The sequence below is a fragment of the Homo sapiens genome, chromosome 7 (genome assembly GCF_000001405.40).
Source record: "Homo sapiens chromosome 7, GRCh38.p14 Primary Assembly".
Taxonomy (NCBI): Eukaryota; Metazoa; Chordata; class Mammalia; order Primates; family Hominidae; genus Homo; species Homo sapiens.
In genome coordinates this window covers 55871641-55894129 of record NC_000007.14, presented here as the reverse complement: position 1 = coordinate 55894129, position 22489 = coordinate 55871641, and the positions used below count along the sequence as shown (strand labels likewise).

Genomic DNA, 22489 nt, shown 5'->3' with positions numbered 1-22489 from the left:
AGGCCATGTGGTAGCTCCTCCTCTGAAAGGGCTGGAGAGTGAAGGTCAGCCACAAGGGTGGTCAAGCCAAGCCCACATGACTGGTGTTGGGGCTCAGAAAATGATACTGCAAATTAAAGGCCTCAAAAGCACAAGTTTCTCTCTGGCCTTCTCCTGCCCTCCTTTCTCTCACCCCTCATTCTCCCCTTAGAGTAGGCTTAGAAACTAAAATACCCCTTCCCCAAGGCAGGTCATAGAAACAACAACCCTTGGCCAGGTGTGGTGGCTCATGCCTGTAATCCCAGCAATTTGGGAAGCCAAGGTGGACGGATCATTTGAGGTCAGGAGTTTGAGACCAGCCTGGCCAACATAGTGAAATGCTGTCTCTACTAAAAATATAAAAATTAGCCTGGTGTGGTGGCGGGTGCCTGTAATCCCAGCTACTCGGGAGGCTGAGGCACAAGAATGGCTTGAACCCGGGAGGCGGAGGTTGCAGTGAGCCAAGATCGCGACACTGTACTCCAGCCTTGGCAACCAGCAAAACTCAGTCTCAAAACAAACAAAAACAAAACAACAAAAAACAGGAATGCTTTTTCTCCAAAGCCAGTCATAAAACCTAAAAATATTACCCTAATTCCCTGCCTTCTGTATAATAACTGGCCATAAATACATTATATGACCTACCTTGTTTCATTGTAGGTCATAAGATCCTCATTCTAGAGTGGTCTTACCCCACACTGGGTAGGAAGGAATACTTCCCAAAGAGAACAAGGAGAATCTGAACACCCAGGCCTGGCTGCATTTCCCCATTCAATCTATAGCATGAGATCATACTCTTTTTGTCCAATCATATTTATACATGGATGTCCATTCCTAAGCATAAACTGTATGTTTATGTTTATGTTTCCCTGTATCTTTGGGTCTTCAGTCTGAAGGCTCCCATGTCACATAAAACTATGATCAAATTAGTCCGGGCGCGGTAGCTCACGCCTGTAATCCCAGCACTTTGGGAGGCTGAGGCGGGCAGATCATGAAGTCAGGAGATCAAGACCATCCTGGCTAACACGGTGAAACCCCGTCTCTACTAAAACTACAAAAAAATTAGCCGGGCGTGGTGGCGGCCGCCTGTAGTCCCAGCTACTCGGGAGGCTGAGGCAAGAGAATGGCGTGAACCCGGGAGACGGAGCTTGCAGTGAGCAGAGATCACACCACTGCACTCCAGCCTGGGTAAATTTGTATGCCTTGTCTCCTATTACTCCGCCTTTTTTTTTTTTTTTTTCCCAAACAATTTCACTCTTGTTGCCCAGAATGGAGTGCAATGGCATGATCTCGGTTCACTGCAACCTCACCTCCCAGGTTCAAGTAATTCTCCTGCTTCAGCCTCCCGAGTAGCTGGGATTATAGGCTTCCGCCACCACGCCCGGCTAATTTTGTATCTTCAGTAGAGACGGGGTTTCTCTATGTTGGTCAGGCTGGTCTCAAACTCCCGACCTCATGTGATCCAATCGCCTTGGTCTCCTAAAGTGCTGGGATTACAGGCGTGAGCCACCGCGCCCAGCCTATTCTGCTTTGTTTTTTTTTTTTTTTTTTTTTTTGGTCAGTGCTTTTCAGCAAACCTTCAGAGGGCAAAGGGGAAGTTATAAAACTATTACCAAATAAACTTGTTATGCTTTTCTCTTGTTAACCTGTGTTTTGTTATAGGGTTTTCTGTCATGACCCTTATGATAGGGAGAAAAGGGATCACCCCTACACCAGTCCCCAATTAAAACCCTGAACACCAAGCTTGAGTGAGCTTCCCTGGTTCTGTATGGCACGAACACAAATCTCTCACACGTTGTTCCTGGGGTTTTTTTTTTTTTTTTTTTTTTTTTTTGAGATGGAGTCTCACTCTGTCGCCCAGGCTGGAGTGCAGCGGCGCGATCTCGGCTCACTGCAAACTCCGCCTCCCGGGTTCACGCCATTCTCCAGCCTCAGCCTCCTGTAGCTGGGACTACAGGCGCCCGCCACCAGGCCCAGCTAATTTTTTTGTAGTTTTAGTAGAGACGGGGTTTCACTGTGTTAGCCAGGATGGTCTCGATCTCCTGACCTCGTGATCCGCCTGCCTAGGCCTCTCAAAGTGCTGGGATTACAGGCATAAGCCATTGCACCCAGCCACTTGTGATTTTTATAAACAAGGGTTTACTACTTCCCACTTTAGATTCATAGATGACAGTCTATCTTAGTTGAGATTTACTTTTTTTCTATGATTTAATTTTTTTCTATTAAATAAGTGGACATCATTTCTCTTAATCTTTTTTCTCTCCTGATTTCTATTTTCATACTTTGCCTTGCAAGTCACATTATACTTTTGTTCCTGCAAACCATTATATATCATGAACTAGTGTGGGTGAAATAAAAATTACATTTTGCAGGCGTTTATATACTCAGATGTGTTTCTGTTTATTTATGTTTTTGTTTTGAGACAGGATCTCACTTTATCACCCAGGCTGCAGTGCAGTGGCACCATCATGGCACACTGCAGCCTCAAACGCCTGGGCTCAAGAGCTCCTCCTTCCTCAGCCTTCCCAGTAGCTGGGACCACAGGTGCGCACCACCACGTGTGGCTTTTTGTTGTTGTTGTTGTTGTTGTTGTTATTAGCGACCAGGTCTCACCATGTTTCCCAGGCTGGTCTAGACACAATTTCTATGATTTAATTTTTTTTCTATTAAATAAGTGGACATCATTTCTCTTAATCTTTTCTCTCCTGATTTCTATTTTCATACTTTGCCTTGCAAGTCACATTATACTTTTGTTCCTGCAAACCATTATATATCATGAACTAGTGTGGGTGAAATAAAAATTACATTTTGCAGGCGTAAATGGAGACACAATTCTTCTATTAAATAACCATGTGACTTTGGAAAGGTATTTAGACTGAGCTTTAATTTCGTTCATATTTATATTAGAATGTTGAAACTGAATTATTTCTTAGTTCCTGTATATAAACTTCTAATTGTCCACATTTATTTGCTGATGAACTAATCAAATAGTAACTTTTTCATTTAGTGTTCATTCAAAACTTAATAGTTTAAAACCTTAATCTATGCTAGGAATTGTTCCAAGCATGTGTGGGAGTAGGCACACTCCTTAATTTTTTTTTCTTTTTTTTTTTTTTGAGACAGAGTCTCACTCTGTCGTCCAGGCTAGAGTGCCGTGGCACAATCCAGGCTCACTGCAACCTCCACCTCCTGGGTTCAAGCACAATTCTCCTACCTCAGGCACGTGCCACCACGCCCAGCTAATATTTGTATTTTTAGGAGATGGGGTTTCACCATGTTGCCCAGGCTGGTCTCAAACTCCTGACCTCAGATGATCCATCCACCTCGGCCTCCCAAAGTGCTGGGATTACAGGCATAAGCCACCACGTCCAGCCTCTCCTTAATATTTGATTCTCCTGTGTATCTGTGATACCAGGATAATTCTTCTTATATCTTTATTTAGAATTCTCTTAAGGGATACATTTTTTCTTGTAATAATGATTTAATTGAGGCAGTTTTAATCTTACAGCAGATTAGAATTTTCAACTCATTTTGATGTTGTAACTGTTATGGACTAAATTATATTCCACACCCACAAATTAGTATGTTGAAGTCCTAACCCGCAATGTGACTTTATTTGGAAATAGGGCCTTAAAGGTTGTCATTTTTTTTTTTTTTTTTTGGAGACAGAGTCTCGCTCTCTTGCCCAGACTGGAGTGCAATGGCGTGATCTCGGCTCACTGAAACCTCTGCCTCCCGGGTTCAAGCAATTCTCCTGCCTCAGCTTCCCAAGTTGCTGGGATTACAGGCACCCACCACCACACCCGGCTAATTTTTGTATTTTTACTAGAGATGGGGTTTCACCATGTTGGCCAAGTTGGTCTTGAACTCCTGACCTCAGGTGATCCACCTGCCTCGGCCTTCCAAAGTGCTGGGATTACAGGCATGAGCCACTGCGCCGGGCCTGTAATTAAAGTTAAATGAGGTCATAAAGGTGGGGTCTTAATCCAATAGCAGTAGTGTCCTCATAAGAAGAAGAGGCACAGGAATGCATGCACCCAGTGCAAAGGCCAGCAGAAGAGGACACAGAGAGATGCCAGTCCCTTCTGCAAGCCAGGAAGAGAGGTTCACTGGAAACCAACAGGGCAGGCACTTTGATTTTGAACTTCCCACCTCTAGAACTGTGAGATACCACATTTCTGTTGTTTGCACTCAGTCTGCAGTATTGTACAGCAGACTGAGCAGGCTATGACAGTCACCAAAGATGCATACTCTAAGGTAAAATTAAAAGCATGGTCTTCACAGCTGACATTTCCAATCAGTTGAAAATGACACCAACGTGTTACAAGAACTATAACTCATAAGATTTATATAGTCCTCTTTTCTAATGAAATTCACATACAAATCTGCACTCAAATTAAACTGCTTTTTTGGGGGTAAAAAAAAAGTGCATGGGTGTAAGACAAAGCCAGATGCAATATCAAGATCATAAAGGGCTTTGAGGGCATCACTAAGGAACTAGAACATTTTCCTGATGGCGGCAGGGAGCCGCAAGTTTTCAGCAACAGAGTGACTTTCCACCAACATTCATCACCGAATAACTATCTATTTAGAACGTACTAATTGCTACAACCTACTAAGTGTTCCAACCTGCCTTTTAAAAAATTATTTTTTTTTAAACTTTTCTGTATCTTTTAAATGCCTCACAATTTAAGTTAAAAGAAATAGATCAGGCCGGGCGCAGTGGCTCACGCCTGTAATCCCAGCACTTGGGAGGCCGAGGTGGGCGGATCACCTGAGGTCAGGAGTTTGAGATCAGCCTGACCAATATGATGAAACTCCGTCTCTACTAAAAATACAAAAATGAGCCAGGTGTGGTGGCATGTGCCTGTAATCCCAGCTAATCGGGAAGCTGAGACAGGAGAATCATTTGAACCCAGGAGGCAGAGGTTGCGGTGAGCGGAGATCACACCATTGCACTCCAGCCTGGGCAACAGGAGCGAAACTCCATCTCAAAAAAAAAAAAAAATCATTATATGAAAGGACACAATTAAGGGGGATTTGCTTAAAACATTTATTTTATTTTTTGAGACAAGGTCTGATTCTGTCGCCCAGGCTGGAGTGCAGTGACTGGCTCACTGCAACCTTCATCTCCTGGGCCAAAGCCATCTTCCCACCTCAGCCTCCTGAGTGGCTGGGGACTACAGGCACACACCACCAAGTCCGGTTAATTTTTCTAGTTTTTTTTGTAGCAACAGGGTCTTGCCATGTTTCCCAGGCTGGTCTCGAACTCATGAGCTCAAGTGATCCTCCTGCCTCTGCCTCCCAAAGTGCTGCGATTACAGGACCGCAACCGGCCTAAACATTTTAAATGAAAAAAATCTATGTATGTATGTACGTATATGTATTCAGTGCAGAAACTGTCAGGGCAGTGACAGAATCTAGAAACAGCTGGCCGAACGCCGTGGCTCATGCCTGTAATCCCAGCACTTTGAGAGGCCAAGGCGGGAGGATCACTTGCGCTCAGAGACCAGCCTGGGAAACATGGTGAGACCTGGTCGCTAACAACAACAACAACAACAAAAAGCCGCACGTGGTGGTGCACACCTGTGGTCCCAGCTACTGAGGAGGCTGAGGAAGGAGGAGCTCTTGAGCCCAGGCGTTTGAGGCTGCAGTGTGCCATGATGGTGCCACTGCACTGCAGCCTGGGTGATAAAGTGAGATCCTGTCTCAAAACAAAAACATAAATAAACAGAAACACATCTGAGCATACACACGCCTGCAAAATGTAATAAAAGTGTCACTGCAATTCCGTGGAAAAGTGACTCAACGGATAACAGCAAGGCAATGAGAGAAAAAGGTAATCTCTACCTAACCCCTTACCACAAATATCATACTCAATGAAATACAGATAAAAAGGAGAAAAAGAAAATATTTTAAAAATTCTTTAAACGTATTATAAGAAAATAAAGCCGAACGTTTGCATAATCCTGAGATGAGGAAAAACTTTCCCCCAAAATGACACCTATGGACGCTTGCCCAAAAATAAACTGCAAGTTTTTCTTCAGCCTCAGAGTCATTCCCAGATAGTAGAAGACAATGTGTTTATAATATTGGAACGGGTAAGACCTTCCTATAAAAGACCAAAAATCTGAAAGGGACACGGGGCGGGTGACAGGAATGGGGACAGCGGGGACAGCGGCCGCCCCTCCCGCCACCTGCCGCCTCCCGCCGCCGCCGCCGCCCGCCGCCGCCGCCGCCGCCGCCGCCCGCCGCCCGCCGCCGCCGCCGCCCGCCGCCCGCCGCCCGCCGCCCGCCGCCCGCCGCCCCCCGCCTCCGCCCCCCGCCTCCGCCCCCCGCCTCCGCCCCCCGCCTCCGCCCCCCGCCTCCGCCCCCCGCCTCCGCCCCCCGCCTCCGCCTCCCGCCTCCGCCTCCTCCCGGCGCGCACTCACCTCCGCAGACAAAGGGCGCTTCGGCAGGCTCCGCCCCCTGACGCCGCCGCCGCCGCCGCCGCCGCCGCCGCCGCCGCCGCGGTGGACCCGGGAGGGAGAAGGTGCCGAGGGCCCCGCAGCCTGAGCCAATGACGCCCGGTGACTGGGCTCCTGGGGCCGGTCCAGCCACCGGCGCGCCAGACCTGCTCTGAGGACAGCCTCCCCGCAATGGCGGCGCAAGACGCTGGCCTCAGATCCCCAATACGCATGCGCTGGCGGCGCTCCGAGCCTGCTTCCTTCATCGCAATCCTCATCGCCGGGGCTCCTGACTCCCACCAGCTTTCCCGGGTCTGTTTTTCATCGGGACTATGCGGACCCCGGGGACCGCGGCCTCGAGCCTTCCCAGAATTTTCCGGTCCTAGAGGAACGAGGGGGACGGGCCGAGGACCCGTCCCTTCGTCCCTGCCAATTAGAAGCGTTGGACTGTCCATCTCCATGGTGACGACACAAGCCTTCCTTTCAGTCCTGGAATCACCCCTCCTTCCCATCAATTTCATATTGATGAAACTCAAAATATAATGATGATGATGTTATTGGCCGGGCGCGGTGGCTCACGCGTGTAATCCCAGCACTTTGGGAGCTTGAGGCTGGTGGATCACCTGAGGTCAGGAGTTCGAGACCAGCCTGGCCAATATGGTGAAACCCCCGTCTCTAATAAACGTACAAATATTAGCTGGGCGTGGTGACGGGCGCCTGTAATCCCAGCTATTCCGGAGGCTGAGGCAGGAGAATCGCTTAAATTCGGGACGGGGAGGTTGCAGTGAGCAGAGATCACATCATTGCACTCCAGCCTGGGCAGCAGAGTAAGACTCCATCTCAAAAAAAAATACAATAATGATATCATTATATCATTATATAGTATATGCTACTGATGCGAAGAATGGAATTTTATTTTATTTATTTATTTATTTATTTTTTGAGACGGAGTCTTGCTCTGTGGCCCAGGCTGGAGTGCAGTGGTGAGATCTCCGCTTACTGCAAGCTCCGCCTCCCGGGTTCATGCCATTCTCCTGCCTCAGCCTCCCAAGTAGCTGGGACTACAGGCGGCCACCACCACGCCCAGCTAATTTTTTTTTTATTTTTATTTTTAGTAGAGATGGGGTTTCACCGTGTTAGCCAGGATGGTCTTGATCTCCTGACCTCGTGATCCCCCTGCCTCGGCCTCCCAAAGTGCTGGGTTTACAGGCTTCAGCCATCGCGCCTGGCCAAAGAATGGAATTTTTTTAGGCGTAACATTTTGCTTAATTGGAGTTCGGAGTTAGTTAGTTTTTTTTGTTTTATTTTGTTTTGTTTTTCAGACAGGGCCTTGTTCTGTCACCCAGGCTGGAGGGCAATGGTGCCATCATGGCTCAGTGCAGCTTCAAACTCCTGGGCTCAAGCATCCTCCCGCCTCAGCCTCCCCAGTAGCCAGGATTACAGCAGCCCTGAGCCACTGCGCCCTGCTAATTTTTAAAACTTTTTTGTAGAGATGGGGATCTCACTATGTTGTCCAGGCTGGTCTTGAACTCCTGGGCTCAAGGGATTCTTACTCCTCAGGCCCCCCAAGGTGCTGGGATTACAGGCATCAGCACTGTGCTAGGCCCCAGAGTTAGTGTTCTTCAGCATCAAAATTGTGTACATCTGTTTCTACCGGTTATAATGAGATTTTACATATTTCATCTTTGAAAATGTTTTTAAGATAGATACGTACTGCCAAACACTGATACCGTCCATGAACATATGATTTAACTTGAGCATATTCATTGCTTGGAAGAATAGAGTTCTGTTATATTCTCTTGAAATTTGCATTTTAGCATGTCATTATATGGCAGATTAATCACTTCCAATTGAAGGTTAGGTGAGAACTCCTCAACTGCACAGTTACAGGGATATTGAAATATAGAAATGTGCTTTGCATTTGCATAGAGGTCCAAAAATGCTACCAGAACTACCAGAACTATAGATTGAGCTTGGAAAATATAGCCACTGCAAATTTCTGCAAACCAACTAAGATAAGGTTATATAAGGTTGATGTAAAAGCAACTGTAGTTTTTGGCATTAAAAGTAATGGCAAAAACCACAATTACTTTTGTACCAACCTAATACTAAATTAGGGTTTTCTTAACTTCTTTAAAAATATTCTTGCCTGACCAGGTGTGGTGACCCACACCTGTAATCCTAGCACTTTGGGAGGCTAAGGTGGGCAAATTGCTTGAGCTCAGGAGTTCAAGACCAGCCTGGCCAACATGGTGAAACCTCATCTCTACTAAAAATACAAAAATTACCTTGGCATGGTGGTGGGTGCCTGTAATCCCAGCTACTCAGGAGGCTGCTGAGGCACAAGAGTTGCTTGAACCCAGGAGGCAGATGTCGCAGTGAGCCGAGATTGCGCTACTGCACTCTAGCCTGGGCAACAAGAGAAAACTCCATCTTCAAAAAAGTCACACACACACACACACACACACACATGCACACACACACATACCCAAATTGACATGATACTTTTTAATGAAAGACAAAATGAATTATATTTTAACTTCCATGGGATTTTGCTCACTCAAGTAACTTGAAGTTCATTGCTCTTATTCCTTGCCAAAGATCCACCAGGATAAGTGAGATGGAGGGGGAGACTCATTGTGGGATACGTTGGAAGGCGGTTCTTGGCTCCCCTTGTACCTCATCTTAGGACTCATGTGGTGTGTGACCAGAAACTGTTCAGTCTCCCAGAAAAAAATGACAGTTTTTTTTTGAGACAGGCTCTCCCTCTGTCGCCCAGGCTGAAGTGCAGTGGTGTCATCATAGCTCACTGCCGCCTTGACTTCCTTGGCTCAAACAATCCTCCCTCCTCATTTTCCTGAGTAGCTGGAGGCATGCACCACACCTGGTTAATTTTTAAATTTTTTGTAGAGATGGAGCCTTGCTATGTTGCCCAGGCTGGTCTCAAACTCCTAGCCTCAAATGATCCTCCTGCCTTGGGCTCTTAAAGTGCTGGGATTATAGGAGTAAGCCACCGTGCCCGGCCCCTTAGCTTCTCTTTCGATGAGCTGCTGCTCATTGCTAGGGAGGAGGGTGGAGAAGGAGGGCATCACTATCTATTGTGAGGAAAAGTTTTAGTTCTGGCAACCATGAATATCTTACTCAGCAAAACAGACTACCATCTGGAAATTTAGTTCCTAGACTGACTTTGTGAATACAGCCCAATCCAGTTGCCTGAGCTTAGTGGGACATGACTCAGGCCAGAATTTGGGTTTTGGAGGTGAGACAGGCTAAAGTGGCCTGAAGAGCCCTGCCTGGGCCAGAACCTGGGTTGGAGGACACAGGATGCAAAGACAACCTTTGTGGGTTTGGAGAGGCCAAGGCTGAGGAAGTGCCCAGAGCCCACTCTGTATGCGTGTGTGTGAGTGTGTTGGGGCATCTGCCCTCAGCAGGGTGGGTGTGTTTGTGTGTGTCAGTAGTGGTCTGTGTGTGACAAACATCTGCTCTCCGTGTGTGTATCTGTCTGTATTTGGGGGATGGTTAGTGTGATCGTGTAGTGTATTGAGGCAACCCATGCCCACAGTGATGTGTGATTTGTCTGTTTTCGTGTGCACGTCGGGTGGTGTGAGTCGCTGTGTGGTATCTGTCCTCTGTGGTAAGTGTGTGCATGTGCACATGCATGTGTTTGTGTGTGGCGGGGTGGAATGTGTGACTGATGGTGTGTATGGTCTGTGTGGAGAGGAGCATGTGCACTAAGCGTGTGAGTGTGTGGGGGGGTGTATGGTTGTGTGGTGCATTGGGGGAATGTGCATCATCAGTGGTGTGCTGTTTGTATTTATGTATCAGTCAATGTGTGTGTGTGGTGTGTAAAGGGTGACCATTCTCTCGTGGGCCCCTGCCTTTTCCACATCGTGCAGCATACACACACCGAGGTGCAGCTCTGTGGGCCTTGAGGGTGGTGCATCAGCATAAATCAAGTTTCATTGCAGCAGGAAGAAGGAAGACCGGGCTGGGCATGGTGGCTCACACCTGTAATCCCAGCACTTTTGGAGGCCGAGGCGGGCGGATCACCTGAGGTCAGGAGTTGAGACCAGCCTGGCCAACGTGGCGAAACCCCAATTCTACTAAAAATAAAAAAGTAGGGCGTGGTGGCACATGCCTGTAATCCCAGCTACTTGGGAGGCTGAGGTGGGAGAATCGCTTGAACCTGGAAGGCAGAGGGTGCAGTGAGCTGAGATCGCATCATTGCACTCCAGCCTGGGTGTCAGAGTGAGACCCTGTCTCCAAAAAAAGAAGAAAAAAAAAAGAAAGAAGACTAAGTATGAATTAACAGGAGTTAGGAAAGGTTTCCTGGAAAGAAGGACTTCCAATCTATGCCTGTGCTCTATTTGACTGGGATTTCAGCAAGCAAAGGTGAGTGTTCTGTTTGGGGGATAGAGGGAGAGGTAAACTTACCATATAGGACCTTGCAAGTGACCAAAGAGCATAGCAGGTGATCCTGGGAGGGTGAGTGACAGGGGCATCACAAGAGAGCTGAGGTGTCAGACCCAGAGCACCACATCCAAGAGCCAGGGTTTGCTTCTTCACAGGGAAGAGTCAGTGAGCATTCTTGGGCTTGGGAGTGATAGGTTCTGGCCTGGCCACTGCCAAATAGGTATTGAAGCTGGGTTCAGTGGCTCACACCTGTAATCCCAACACTTTGGGAGGCTGAGGTGAGCGGATCACCTGAAGTCATGAGTTCAAGACCAGCCTGGCCAACATATAGTGAAACCCTATCTCTACAAAAATACAAAAAGTAGCTGGGCATGGTGACGCGTGCCTGTAGTCCCAGCTACTCAGAAGGCTGAGGCAAGAGAATCGCTTGAAGCTGGGAGGAGGAGGTTGCAGTGAGCCAAGATCGAGCCACTACACTCCAGCCTAGGCAACAGAGTGAGATGAGACTCTTGTCTCAAAAAAATAAAAGGTTGGACGCAGTGTCTCATGCCTGTAATCCCAGCACTTTGGGAGGCCGAGGCGGGTGGATCACGAGGTCAGGAGTTCGAGACCAGCCTGGCCAACATGGAGAAACCCTGTCTCTCCTAAAACATATACAAAAATTAGCGTGGCAGCATGCGCCTGTAATCCGAGCTACTCGGGAGGCTGAGGCAGGAGAATCATTTGAACCCACGAGGCGGAGGTTGCAGTGAGCTGAGACTGCACCACTGTACTTCAGCCTGGGCGACAGAGTGAGACTCAGTCTCTCAAAACAACAACAACAACAACTAAACAAACAAAAATTTGGGGGAAAGGGTGACATTCTTCAGAATAGACCGTATGTTGGGTCATAAAACACACCTTAATACATTTTAAAAATACTGAATTATACAAAGCATCTTTTGTGATCACAATGGAGTGATGCCAGATATCAATAAGCATAAGAAAACTGAAAAATTTGCAAATATATACAATTAAAACATTAAAAAAATTAAAAACAAAACACTATTTTTTTGGTAGCAGAGGACAGGGTCTTGCTCTGTCACCCAGGCTGGAGCGCAATGGCACGATCACGGCTCACTGAAGCCTCAACCTCCTGGGCTCAAGCTATTCTCCCATCTTAGCCTCCTGAGTAGCTGGGTCTACAGGCATATATCACCACACCGAGCTAATTTTTTATTTTTTGTAGAGATGCAGTCTCACTGTGTTGCCCAGACTGGTCAAACTCCCGGGCTCAAGCAATCCTTCCACCTCAGCCTCTCAAAGTGCTGGGATTACAGGTGTGAGCCACCATGCCTAGCCTCTTATGATGTTTTTATTTGGCTTTAATATTTGGATAATACTGGCCTCACAGAATGAGTTAGGAATTGTTTTTTCCTCTTTCCCTTTTGGAGAGTGTGAGAAGGATTGCTGTTAATTCTTTTTGAAATGTTTGGTAGAATTCACCAGTGAAGCCATTTTTTCATGGACTTGACTTTGTTGGAAGGTTTTTAATGCCCTGTTTTACTACTGCTATTCAATATTCTACTAGAACTTCCAACAAGAACAATTAGACAATTTAAAAAAATGAAAAGTATCAACACTGGAGAGGAAGTAGTCAAACTATATTTATTTGCAGATGAGAATACATATCCCAAATATATAGCAAATCCAAAAGAATCCATGAAAAAGGCTACTAGAGCTAATAAATGAATTCAGCAAAGTTGCAGGATGCAAGATTAACATATGCACAAAAATCCATTATGTTTCCATACAATTGAAATAAATAAACAAAAAAGTTAAGAAAGTAATTCCATTTACCATAGCATCTAAAAAGTAAAATACAGACTGGGAGCGGTGGCTCACCCCTGTAATCCCAGCACTTCAGGAGGCTGAAGCGGGCAGATCACCTGACGTCAGGAGTTCAAGACCAGCCTGGTCAACATGGTGAAACCCCGTGTCCACTAAAAATACAAAAATCAGCCGAGCGTGGTGGTGCGTGCTTGTAGTCCCAGCTACTTCAGAGAGTGAGGCAGGAGAATAGCTTGAACCTCGGAGGCAGAGGTTGCAGTGAGCCAGGATGGCGCCACTGCACTCCAGCCTAGGTGACAGAGTGAGACTCCGTCTCAAAAATAAATAAATAAATAAATAAAAATAAACAAAATAAAATACATAGGATAAATCTGAGGTGAATGGCTTATACACTAAAAAGAACACAACGTGGCTAAAATAAATTAAAGAAGGACTAAATAAACAAAGACATCATGTCATGGGTAGGAAGACTCAGTATTGTTAACATGTCAAGATTACTCAAAGTGATCTATAGATTCAACATAATTCCAATCAATATCCCAACAGCCTTTTAGGCAGGAATAAATAAGACAATGCCTACATCCATATGGAATAATTATAAAGGGCTCCAAATAGCCAAAAGCTTGTAAAGAATTACAAAGTCAGAGGAATCACACTTCCCATTTCAAAGCTTGCTTTTTTTTTTGAAGGGTTTTTGTTTGTTTAATACATCTGAAAATAATGCATACACAAAGAATTGAGACATGAGAAAGCATTGGTTCAACAATAATGAATCTACAAGAATTAGGATTGGGAAGGTGGAAAAGATTACTTCAACATTTTTAAAAATTAGAAACTGCAACCAAAATAAGCTGCTAAAATCCCTATTAACACTTATGGAGAGTCTTCATAAGACTCTTTCCGGCTGGGCGCGGTGGCTCATGCCTGTAATCCCAGCACTTCTGGGAGGCCGAGGTGGGTGGATCACCTGAGGTCAGGAGTTTGAGACCATCCTGACCAACGTGGAGAAACCCCGTCTCTAGTAAAAATACAAAATTAGTCGGGCGTGGTGGTGCATGCCTGTAATCCCAGCTACTCGGGAGGCTGAGGCAGGAGGATTGCTTGAACCCAGGAGGCAGAGGTTGCGGTGAGGTGACATCGCGCCACTGCACTCCAGCCTGGGCAACAACAGTGAAACTCTGTCTCAAAAAAAAAAGCCAGGCGCGGTGGCTCACACCTGTAATCCCAGCACTTTGGGAGGCCGAGGCAGGCGGATCACAAGGTCAGGAGATCGAGACCATCCTGGTTAACACGGTGAAACCCCATCTCTACTAAAAACACAAAAAATTAGGCGGGCGTGGTGGTGGGCACCTGTAGTCCCAGCTACTCGGGAGGCTGAGGCAGGAGGATTGCTTGAACCCGGGAGGCAGAGGTTGCGGTGAGGTGACATCGCGCCACTGCACTCCAGCCTGGGCAACAAGAGTGAAACTCTGTCTCAAAAAAAAAAGCCAGGCGCAGTGGCTCACACCTGTAATCCCAGCACTTTGGGAGGCCGAGGCAGGCGGATCACGAGGTCAGGAGATCGAGACCATCCTGGTTAACACGGTGAAACCCCATCTCTACTAAAAACACAAAAAATTAGCCGGGCGTGGTGGTGGGCACCTGTAGTCCCAGCTACTCGGGAGGTTGAGGCAGGAGAATAGTGTGAACCCAGTCGGCAGAGGTTGCAGTGAGCTGAGATCGTGCCACTGCACTCCAGCCTGGGCGACAGTGCAAGACTCCGTGTCAAAAAAAAAAAAGAGGCTTTCCATGATTTTTATTAAACTAGAGAGCCTCATCTGGCTGCTCTAGGGTTCCTCATATGCAAAACAGAAATAAGAGGATTCCCCTGACTGGCCCCCATGTTGTTAAGTGTTCTCCCCACCCCCACCCTACGCCCAGCTTCTTAATGAAGCAGGCCTCCATCCTCCTAACCTGAGAGGATGTGAATCATTCCACAGATGTCTGTCTTCTAGCACCACCCACCCCTCATATTTCCTCTACATACCAGTTCTTCAGCTGCGTTCTAGGAACACCATATACTACTGAGTTGCAAATCTATGCTAAGCATATAAGACAATGACTGACAGGAAAAAAATTTTTAATTACAAACTCAATTCATTCGGTGTATTTCAAAGGTGCAATACTTTTCTTCATTTATTAGTGAAAGAAGTTAGAAATTAACTTCCCCAAAAAATCAGCAAGTGGCAAACAAATGTCCTTGAAAGTCAGTCACATACAGTGCGTCCTAGAAAAGAGGAGGGGCAAGACAGGCTCCACCCACTTTCATGAGTTTCATCAAATACTGGATCTACTCTAGGGTGGAGAGAAAAGGCAACTTTCAAAAAGGAGTATGTTATTAAATGAGGCATTTACTATACTCCTTCCTAGGAGCGCCAGATGGGGAACATGTTTTCTCAACTAGATCTAGGAAGTGGAATGTGGAATCAATCCATCCTCCTCCGCTTAAGGGCTAACCACTGGTTAATGAATTAAAAAAACAAGACTGAGAAACAAACCCCACACACACTCCCCCCAAAAGAGGAGAAAAAAACCAACAACACTAAGATGTGCCAGATTACTCTCCAGAGTGGAACCAGGGAGCGGCTTCAACAATTGCAATTAGTTTGTTACAGAGTCATCCACAAGCATGCCTTGCTGTTTTTTTAAATTTGAAACAGTCTTGCTCTGTCACCTAGGCTGGAGTGCAATGGTGCAATCTCGGCTCACTGCAACCTCCACCTCCAGGGTTCAAGTGATTCTCCTGCCTCAGTCTCCCGAGTAGCGGGACTATAGGTGCCCGCCACCAAGCCCAGCTAATTTTTTGTATTTTTAGCAGAGACGGGGTTTCACCGTGTTAGCCAGAATGGTCTCAACCTCCTGACTTCATGATCTGCCCGCCTCAGCTTCCCAAACTGCTGGGATTACAGGTGTGAGCCACTGCGCCCGGCCCATGCCTTGCTTTTAAACAATAACAAAAAAATTTTTTGAAACAAAACAAAAACTAGTACTAATCACTTTTCTGACAATACACTATTACTCAAAATTAACTAGTCCTGGGAGGGGGAAGGGGGGCCATACCTATGGGCCTGTCTCACATGAGTGCATTTGCGTAGGTGCAGGGCATTTGTCATTATTGCAAAAATGAATTTTAATTTTTAATCTTCAGTTTGATTTAAACATTGCTTTTAGTGTGATGCTGACACCAGCTATGCAGAAAGGGCTCTGGAGAGATGTTCATAGCAGCACACACCTGTGGCTCTTCTTCGATTCTGGAGGCTCCAGCGCAGCCAATGTTGCTTCGTCAAATACATTCTTTAGGCCTTTCTGTGTGAGTGCAGAACACTCCACATACTTGACAATCTTCAGGTCATGGGCCAGCTTTTCAGCAGTCTCTGGAGTGATAGGCTTCTGTTTGTTCTTGGAAAGTTTCTCAATAGTAGAGGGATCATCTCTTGAGATCAGTTTGGGTCCCAGCAAGCAAGATTACACACATGAAAAATAAACACATGTTCTCTACAATGATTTTGTTATTTATGTTGTGAAAAGTTCAGAATAACCATATTACTTTTGGGTCCAAATTGTACTAATATCAGAACGTTGAAAATAAAAATGTACCTTTCTGGGTTCTCGTATTCAGGGAAGAACTGTTCTGCTGCAGGACTGTAATAGAAAAATTAAAATGATTTTTATAAAAACTAATATCTAGATGAACCATAACGAGTTTAGTTTCTTACTTTGAAACTTTGTGTGTTATTTAAAATGGGGACAATCTTTAATAAAATTAACTTTTTCACCTCGGCTTCCCAAAATGCTGGGATGACAGGTTTGAACCACTGCAACCGGCCTGTTTGCCTTTTGAGGAATGGCCACACTGTTTTTCAGAGCAGCCGCAACCCCCGCCAGCAATGTATGTGTTCCAGTTTCACCACCTTGCCACAACTTATATTCTGTTTTTGGTTTTTCAGTAGCCATCCTAGTAAGTACAAAGTTGTGGTTTTGACTTGAGTTTCCTAATAATATTGAATATCTTTGCATCTTATTTCCCGTTTGTATATTTTCTTTGGAAAAATGTCTGTTCAAGTCCTTCATCCATTTTAGTTATTTTTCCTTTTTGCTGTTGAGTTGTAGGAGTTATTTATACATTTTGGATATCATACCTTTATTGCATATACAATTTGAAAATATTTTCACCCATTCTGTAAGTTGCCTTTTCACCTTCTTGATATTGTCCTTTGATATGCCACTGCCACATAGTTTTGATTACTGTAGCTTTGTAGAAAGCTTTAAAATTAGGGAGTGCTGCCAACGCCCTCGTGGAGAAGCTGAGGTCAACATCAGATTTGAAATATTTAAAGTGGATACAAAACTATTTCAGCAATGCAGACAATTAGTGTGTTGTTGTGGGCGATGGTGCTGTTGGTAAAACATGTCTCCAGATATCCTACACAACAAACAAATTTCCATCGGAATATGTTCCGACTGTTTTTGACAATTATGCAGTCACAGTTATGATTGGTGGAGAACCATATACTCTTGGGCTTTTTGATACTGCAGGGCAGGAGGATTATGACAGATTACTACCACTGAGTTATCCACAGACAGATGTATTTCTAGTCTGTTTTTCAGTGGTCTCTCCATCTTCATTTGAAAATGTGAAAGAAAAACCTGAGAGGTTAAGGCAGGAGAATTGCTTGAACCCAGGAGGTGGAGGTTGCAGTGAGCAGAGATTGTGCCACTGCACTCCAGCCTGGGCAAAAAGAGTGAAACTCCATCTCAAAAAAAAAAGAAAAAAAAGAAACCGATTACAAAAAGCACTGTTGGGTTTCTGAGAAGTAATTTGTTAGGCAACTTTTGCTTTATCTTTGTGTGACATTATTTTTAAAATCAACATTTAATGAGCTTTTACCAGCATTTAAATCCAGAAAGTTTCTTCAGGCCCCTTTCAAGTCAGCCTTCTCATCTTAATGGCAAACGGTGTTCAAATTCCTCTTGCCGTGGAATAGCTTTGCCTTTTCTGAAGTTTCACATGAATGAAATCAAATAGTACAGACAATTTTGTGTCTGGCTTTTTCTACTCAGTATCTTGACTTTCAGATTCATCCACTTTGTTTCATATATAAGTAACTCCTTCTCCATTGCTGACTAGTATTCTTTGAATAAATACACTACAGATTGTTTATCACCCTCTTCTTGGACATGTTGTTTATAGTTTTAGGCTATTTTGATAAAGGTGCTATTAACATTCTTATATAAGTCTTTTTGTAGACATATGCTTTCATTTACATTAAATGGATGGCTAGGAATATAATTTCTGGGTTATACAGTAATTGCATGTTAATTACAAGTACTAAACAGAGGCCAGATGTAGTGGCTCATGCCTGTAATTTCAGCACTATGGGAGGCCAAGGCAGGAGGATTGCCTTAGACCAGGAGTTTGAAACCAGCCCTGGCCAACATGATGAGACCCTGTTGCTACTAAAAATACAAAAATTAGCTGGGCATGGTGGCCTGTGCCTATAATCTCAGTAAGACTTGTCTCAAACCCCCCAACACTCCCCCAAAGAAACCCAAAACTACTGAGCAGTATTTTTTTGTTTTTTTGAGACAGAGTCTCACTCTGTCACCTGGGCTTGAAGTGCAGTGGTACAATCTTGGCTCACTCTAATCTCCACCTACTCGGTTTAAGCGATTCTCCTGCCTTAGCCTCTTGAGTAGCTGGGATTACAGGCTCCTGCCACCATGCCTGGCTAATTTTGTATTTTTTTTTTAGTAGAGACAGAGTTTCACCATGTTGGACAGGCTGGTCTCGAACTCCTGACCTCAAGTGATCCACCCGCCTTGGCCTCCCAAAGTGCTGGGATTACAGGCGTGGGCCACTGCGTCTAGCCTCCAAGGACACCATTTTGAGAGCAAGCACCTGCCGGACTGCATCCTGCCCTGGGGCCCAAAAACTCCTGCGTCTCCACATTCCTGGAGCTCCACTGACATCCCCCTCATGTCCTCCTGGACGGCTGCAGTGATGTAACACCAGCTGGACCCAACCCTGCGGCCAGGTCCCCAGCACTGTAGCCCACACAGTGTCTTATATACTTCAGGGAATGGGGGAGGCTGCCTTTGGGACACAGGCAGCTAAAGCACGTGCTCCGAGTTACCTGCCTAGGACTGCCGCCACTGACAGCAACCCTGCTCCCCGACCCCCTGCAACAGAACTGCTGCATACTGCATAGAGCATACAGCATACAGCCTGGGGACCAGCAGGTACAGATGCCATCCCAGGCTCAGAAGATAGGCTTTATTTGCCCACTGTTACTGCAGCTGTTGCCACCCAAGCACACCACCTGGAGACCACCTTGGGGATCACGTAGGGTTTGCTCACCCATCTGTTGCCCTGGGCACACGTGCACACCATCAGTAGGTCTGACAAAAGACCCAGCTGGCCTGCTGATGGTGCAGGAGCATGCAGTCCCAGGGCCCAGGGATCACACCGCCCCATGCAACACAGCCTGCACCCATGGGCACCATGGGGGGGGGGGGCTGAGGAAGGGCATGCCACAGCTGATGCCATCGCCCCAGTGCCAAATGCACTTTCCAAGGGTCTGGGGATTGCCTTGCCGTGCCTACCCCCTCTGGCATCTGTGCATTCCTATCAGGGGACTGAAGACAGACCTGCCTACCCTGCCACCACTCCCATTGCGGGCACTCACCCTCACATGCCACCTGGGGGCCTAGGGAGTGGCCCGTCCACCCCATCGTCACTGCAGCTAACACCAGTGATTGCTGCCAGGGAGCTCAAGGGTTGGCTTGCCCCCTCTATTGCCACTGCCAACATCATGCATGCTGCTCAGGGGCCCGAGAACCTGCCCATCTGCTTGGCCTACCACTGCCACTGCCTGTGCTGAAGCAAGCCACCTGTGGGCCAAGAATTGGCTTGCCTGGATCTGCTAACAATGGCATCCGTGTAGGCTACCCAAGTCAAGATCTTTAACCTTAATCATAATCTCCCCAGCTCAAGATCTTTAACGTTAATCATATCTGCAAACTGTCTTTTGCCCCGTAAGATAAGATACTTACAGGTTCTAGGGATTTAGATGTGATCATCTTTGGGGGTGATGGGCATTATTCTGTCTGCCCAGCTCTGAATCCTATAACCCAGAAACTGGGCTAGTAAGCATTGGCTCCATAAAGTCAAATTTAGGAATAACTGAAGTTCCAATTACGCTCTGGTAACAATGAGTATAGATTCTTATTGAACCTATGCAAATAATTGTAAGGCCATGAAAATAAGAAAATAAGGGTGTTGGGAGAAAAGCTGAGGCAGGGCTTGCAAGTCTGCTAGACTTGCTGGCTCCTTGCTTCTAGCACTCCCATTATCTCAAGCAGTCATATGTATCATTCACTTGATACACTGTTTGCTTTCAACCCCCACATCCTCACTACCTGTTTGTTTGAGCACCAACAAATAGCATGGGCTTCCAGGGCTCAGGGCCTTCTCATTCTCCACACTCCTGAGGGCCCCCTGGTCCCACTTACTCTCTCAAACTGTCTTTTTCTCATTCCTTTGACTCTGCCGGACTTCATCGGCCCCATTACCTGGCGTTGGGTCTGATCACCCCAACATAAGGGTTTTCAAATTCTGGAGGAGCCAGGCAGGGAAAATAAGACATATATATAAACGTTTCACTTCCGTTTACAAAAGCATAGACTATTAAATTTTTATGTTATAGATATCTTAAGAGAAAAAAGAGGTTTCTTATATATGCAAAAAGTAGAACATTGGAACATCAGCAAGAGTCCAAATAACAAAGTCATTACTCATCAGCTCACTCATTTCTGTGTAATTAATTCTTGTTATGCTCTATCTTGAATTTAGTAGTCTCCAGGACTCATCCGCTTCTTAACTAGAATTCCGGAATTTGTGACTCTGTTTACTGGTAGAGTCTCAAATTTAAGTGATGCCATCAGAAGCTGGTACCCCAAAGTACCTGGTGCAATCCTTTTCAGTTGAGATCTGAGATAGCGCTGCTGCTTTTTTTTTTTTTTTTTTTTTTTTTTTTTTTTTTTTTTTTTTGGAGATGGAGTCTCGCTCTGTCACCCAGGCTGGAGTGCAATGGCACAATCTCGGCTCACTTCAACCTCTGCCTCCTGGGCTCAAGCAATTCTCCTGTCTCAGCCTCCCAAGTAGCTGGAATTACAGGCGTATGCCACCACGCCTGGCTAATTTTTGTATTTTTAGTAGAGACAGGGTTTCACCATGTTGGCCAGGTTGGTCTCAAACTCCTGGCCTCAGGTGATGCATCCCATTTCGGCCTCCCAAACTGCTAAGATTACAGGCATGGGCCATGGCGCCCAGCCTGTAGTGCTTCTTTTTTTAAGATGAAATACCATAGCCTGTAGGTGATGGCAAGTGCTTTCAGGCAATCATTAGGGTAAGACAAAAAGCTACTGGTAGACTACAAGAGACTAAAAATGGCTGCGGTTAACTTATACCTATATGTAATAATAGCAGTGGCATCAGTGCCCAAGATGCCTGGCCTGAGGCACAAGAATCTCTTGAACCCGGGAGGTGGAGGTTGTGGTGAGCCAAGATTGCACCACTGCACTCTAGCCTGGGTGACAGAGTGAGACTCTGTCTCAAGAAACAAACAAACAAAAACAAAAAAATAGGCCAGGCGCGGTGGCTTACGCCTGTAATCCCAGGACTTTGGGAGGCCGAGGCGGGCGGATCACGAGGTCAGGAGATCGAGACCATCCTGGCTAACACGGTGAAACCCCGTCTCTACTGAAAATACAAAAAATTAGCCAGGTGTGGTGGCAGGCGCCTGTAGTCCCAGCTACTCCGGAGGCTGAGGCAGGAGAATGGCGTGAACCAGCGAGGCGGAGCTTGCAGTGAGCTGAGATCACACCACTGCACTCCAGCTGGGTGACAGAGCGAGACTCCGTCTCAAAAAAATAAATAAATAAAACCAAAAAATAAAACAGGCATGCATGGAATGACAATGAGTCCAGGGTCCTCAGTGCAGGCTAGCTCACTGTGGAGGTGGTTCTGATGTCTGAGACGTGGGCACTCATGGAGCAGTGGTGGAACTGAACTCTGGAGCACAGATGTGCAGAATGACCACACTTTCATGACCTGGGGTGGGGTTAACCAGCTGTGGTGGTGGTTTTGGTGCCTCGAATGTAGGTATGCACGGTGCAGCCACAGAGCTTGGGACTGGAGTATGGACACACATGGGGCAGCTTTGACTCTAGTATGGGGATGCTTAGGGTTGTGGGGATTGGTGGCTCCAGCCGGGATGGTACAACAGTGGCTTTCTAGCGGGCACAGTAGCAGCTTTCTCTCCAGGAGGTATGCGGTGGCAATGGCTTTTAGTTACTTAAGTGGCAATGCTGGTGTCCTCTGCAGAACAGGCCACTGGGGACCATGATGACACCTACTCTGTGGCTGATACTGATAGCTTCTGCCCTTCTTTGTTCCTTGCCATCCCCAGACATCTCAGGTATGTCAATCTCTCCAGCAATTCTTTCTGTGTGGTAATTATCCATTTTTGGCTTTGTGGTGTTGCCGCAGGTTTTTAAGTGGACACGTGAGCCCTCCCAAAGCCATTTGCATTCATGATTAGCTCTGTACTTTTTTTTCTATTTCCAACTTTTATTTTAAGTACATGCGCAGGATGTGCAGGTTTGTTACATAGGTAAATGTGTGCTACAGTGGTTTGCTGCGCAGATCATCCCATTACCTAGGTATTCAGGCCAGCATCCAT

At 46.2% G+C, this 22489-nt stretch overlaps 1 protein-coding gene and 1 pseudogene across 2 annotated transcripts in view, besides 4 other annotated features; both read right to left on the bottom strand.

Moving 5' to 3' along the window:
- The window catches only part of ZNF713 (zinc finger protein 713), a 54770-nt gene extending 48096 nt beyond the window's left edge, over positions 1-6674 (bottom strand). For both annotated transcript variants that reach the window (NM_182633.3, NM_001366796.2), the window contains exon 1: positions 6450-6674. The gene's annotated coding sequence lies outside the window, so the exon portion shown is untranslated. The remainder of the gene's footprint in view (positions 1-6449) is intronic.
- Positions 6474-6523: a silencer, noted in NCBI's record as "silent region_18191". NCBI's record gives its function as "represses an Ori minimal core promoter by ATAC-STARR-seq in GM12878 lymphoblastoid cells {active_cell/tissue: GM12878}" and the evidence as "EXISTENCE:reporter gene assay evidence [ECO:0000049][PMID:35858748]".
- Positions 6491-6529: a tandem repeat, named in NCBI's record as "fragile site, folic acid type, rare, fra(7)(p11.2)".
- Positions 6493-6528: a repeat instability region, noted in NCBI's record as "repeat instability region; expansion of the (CGG)n trinucleotide repeat may be associated with autism spectrum disorder". NCBI's record gives the evidence for it as "EXISTENCE:Southern hybridization evidence [ECO:0000078][PMID:25196122]".
- Positions 6644-6983: an enhancer, noted in NCBI's record as "active region_26042". NCBI's record gives its function as "activates an Ori minimal core promoter by ATAC-STARR-seq in GM12878 lymphoblastoid cells {active_cell/tissue: GM12878}" and the evidence as "EXISTENCE:reporter gene assay evidence [ECO:0000049][PMID:35858748]".
- On the bottom strand, positions 13389-16211 carry LOC101409255 (cell division cycle 42 pseudogene; annotated as a pseudogene).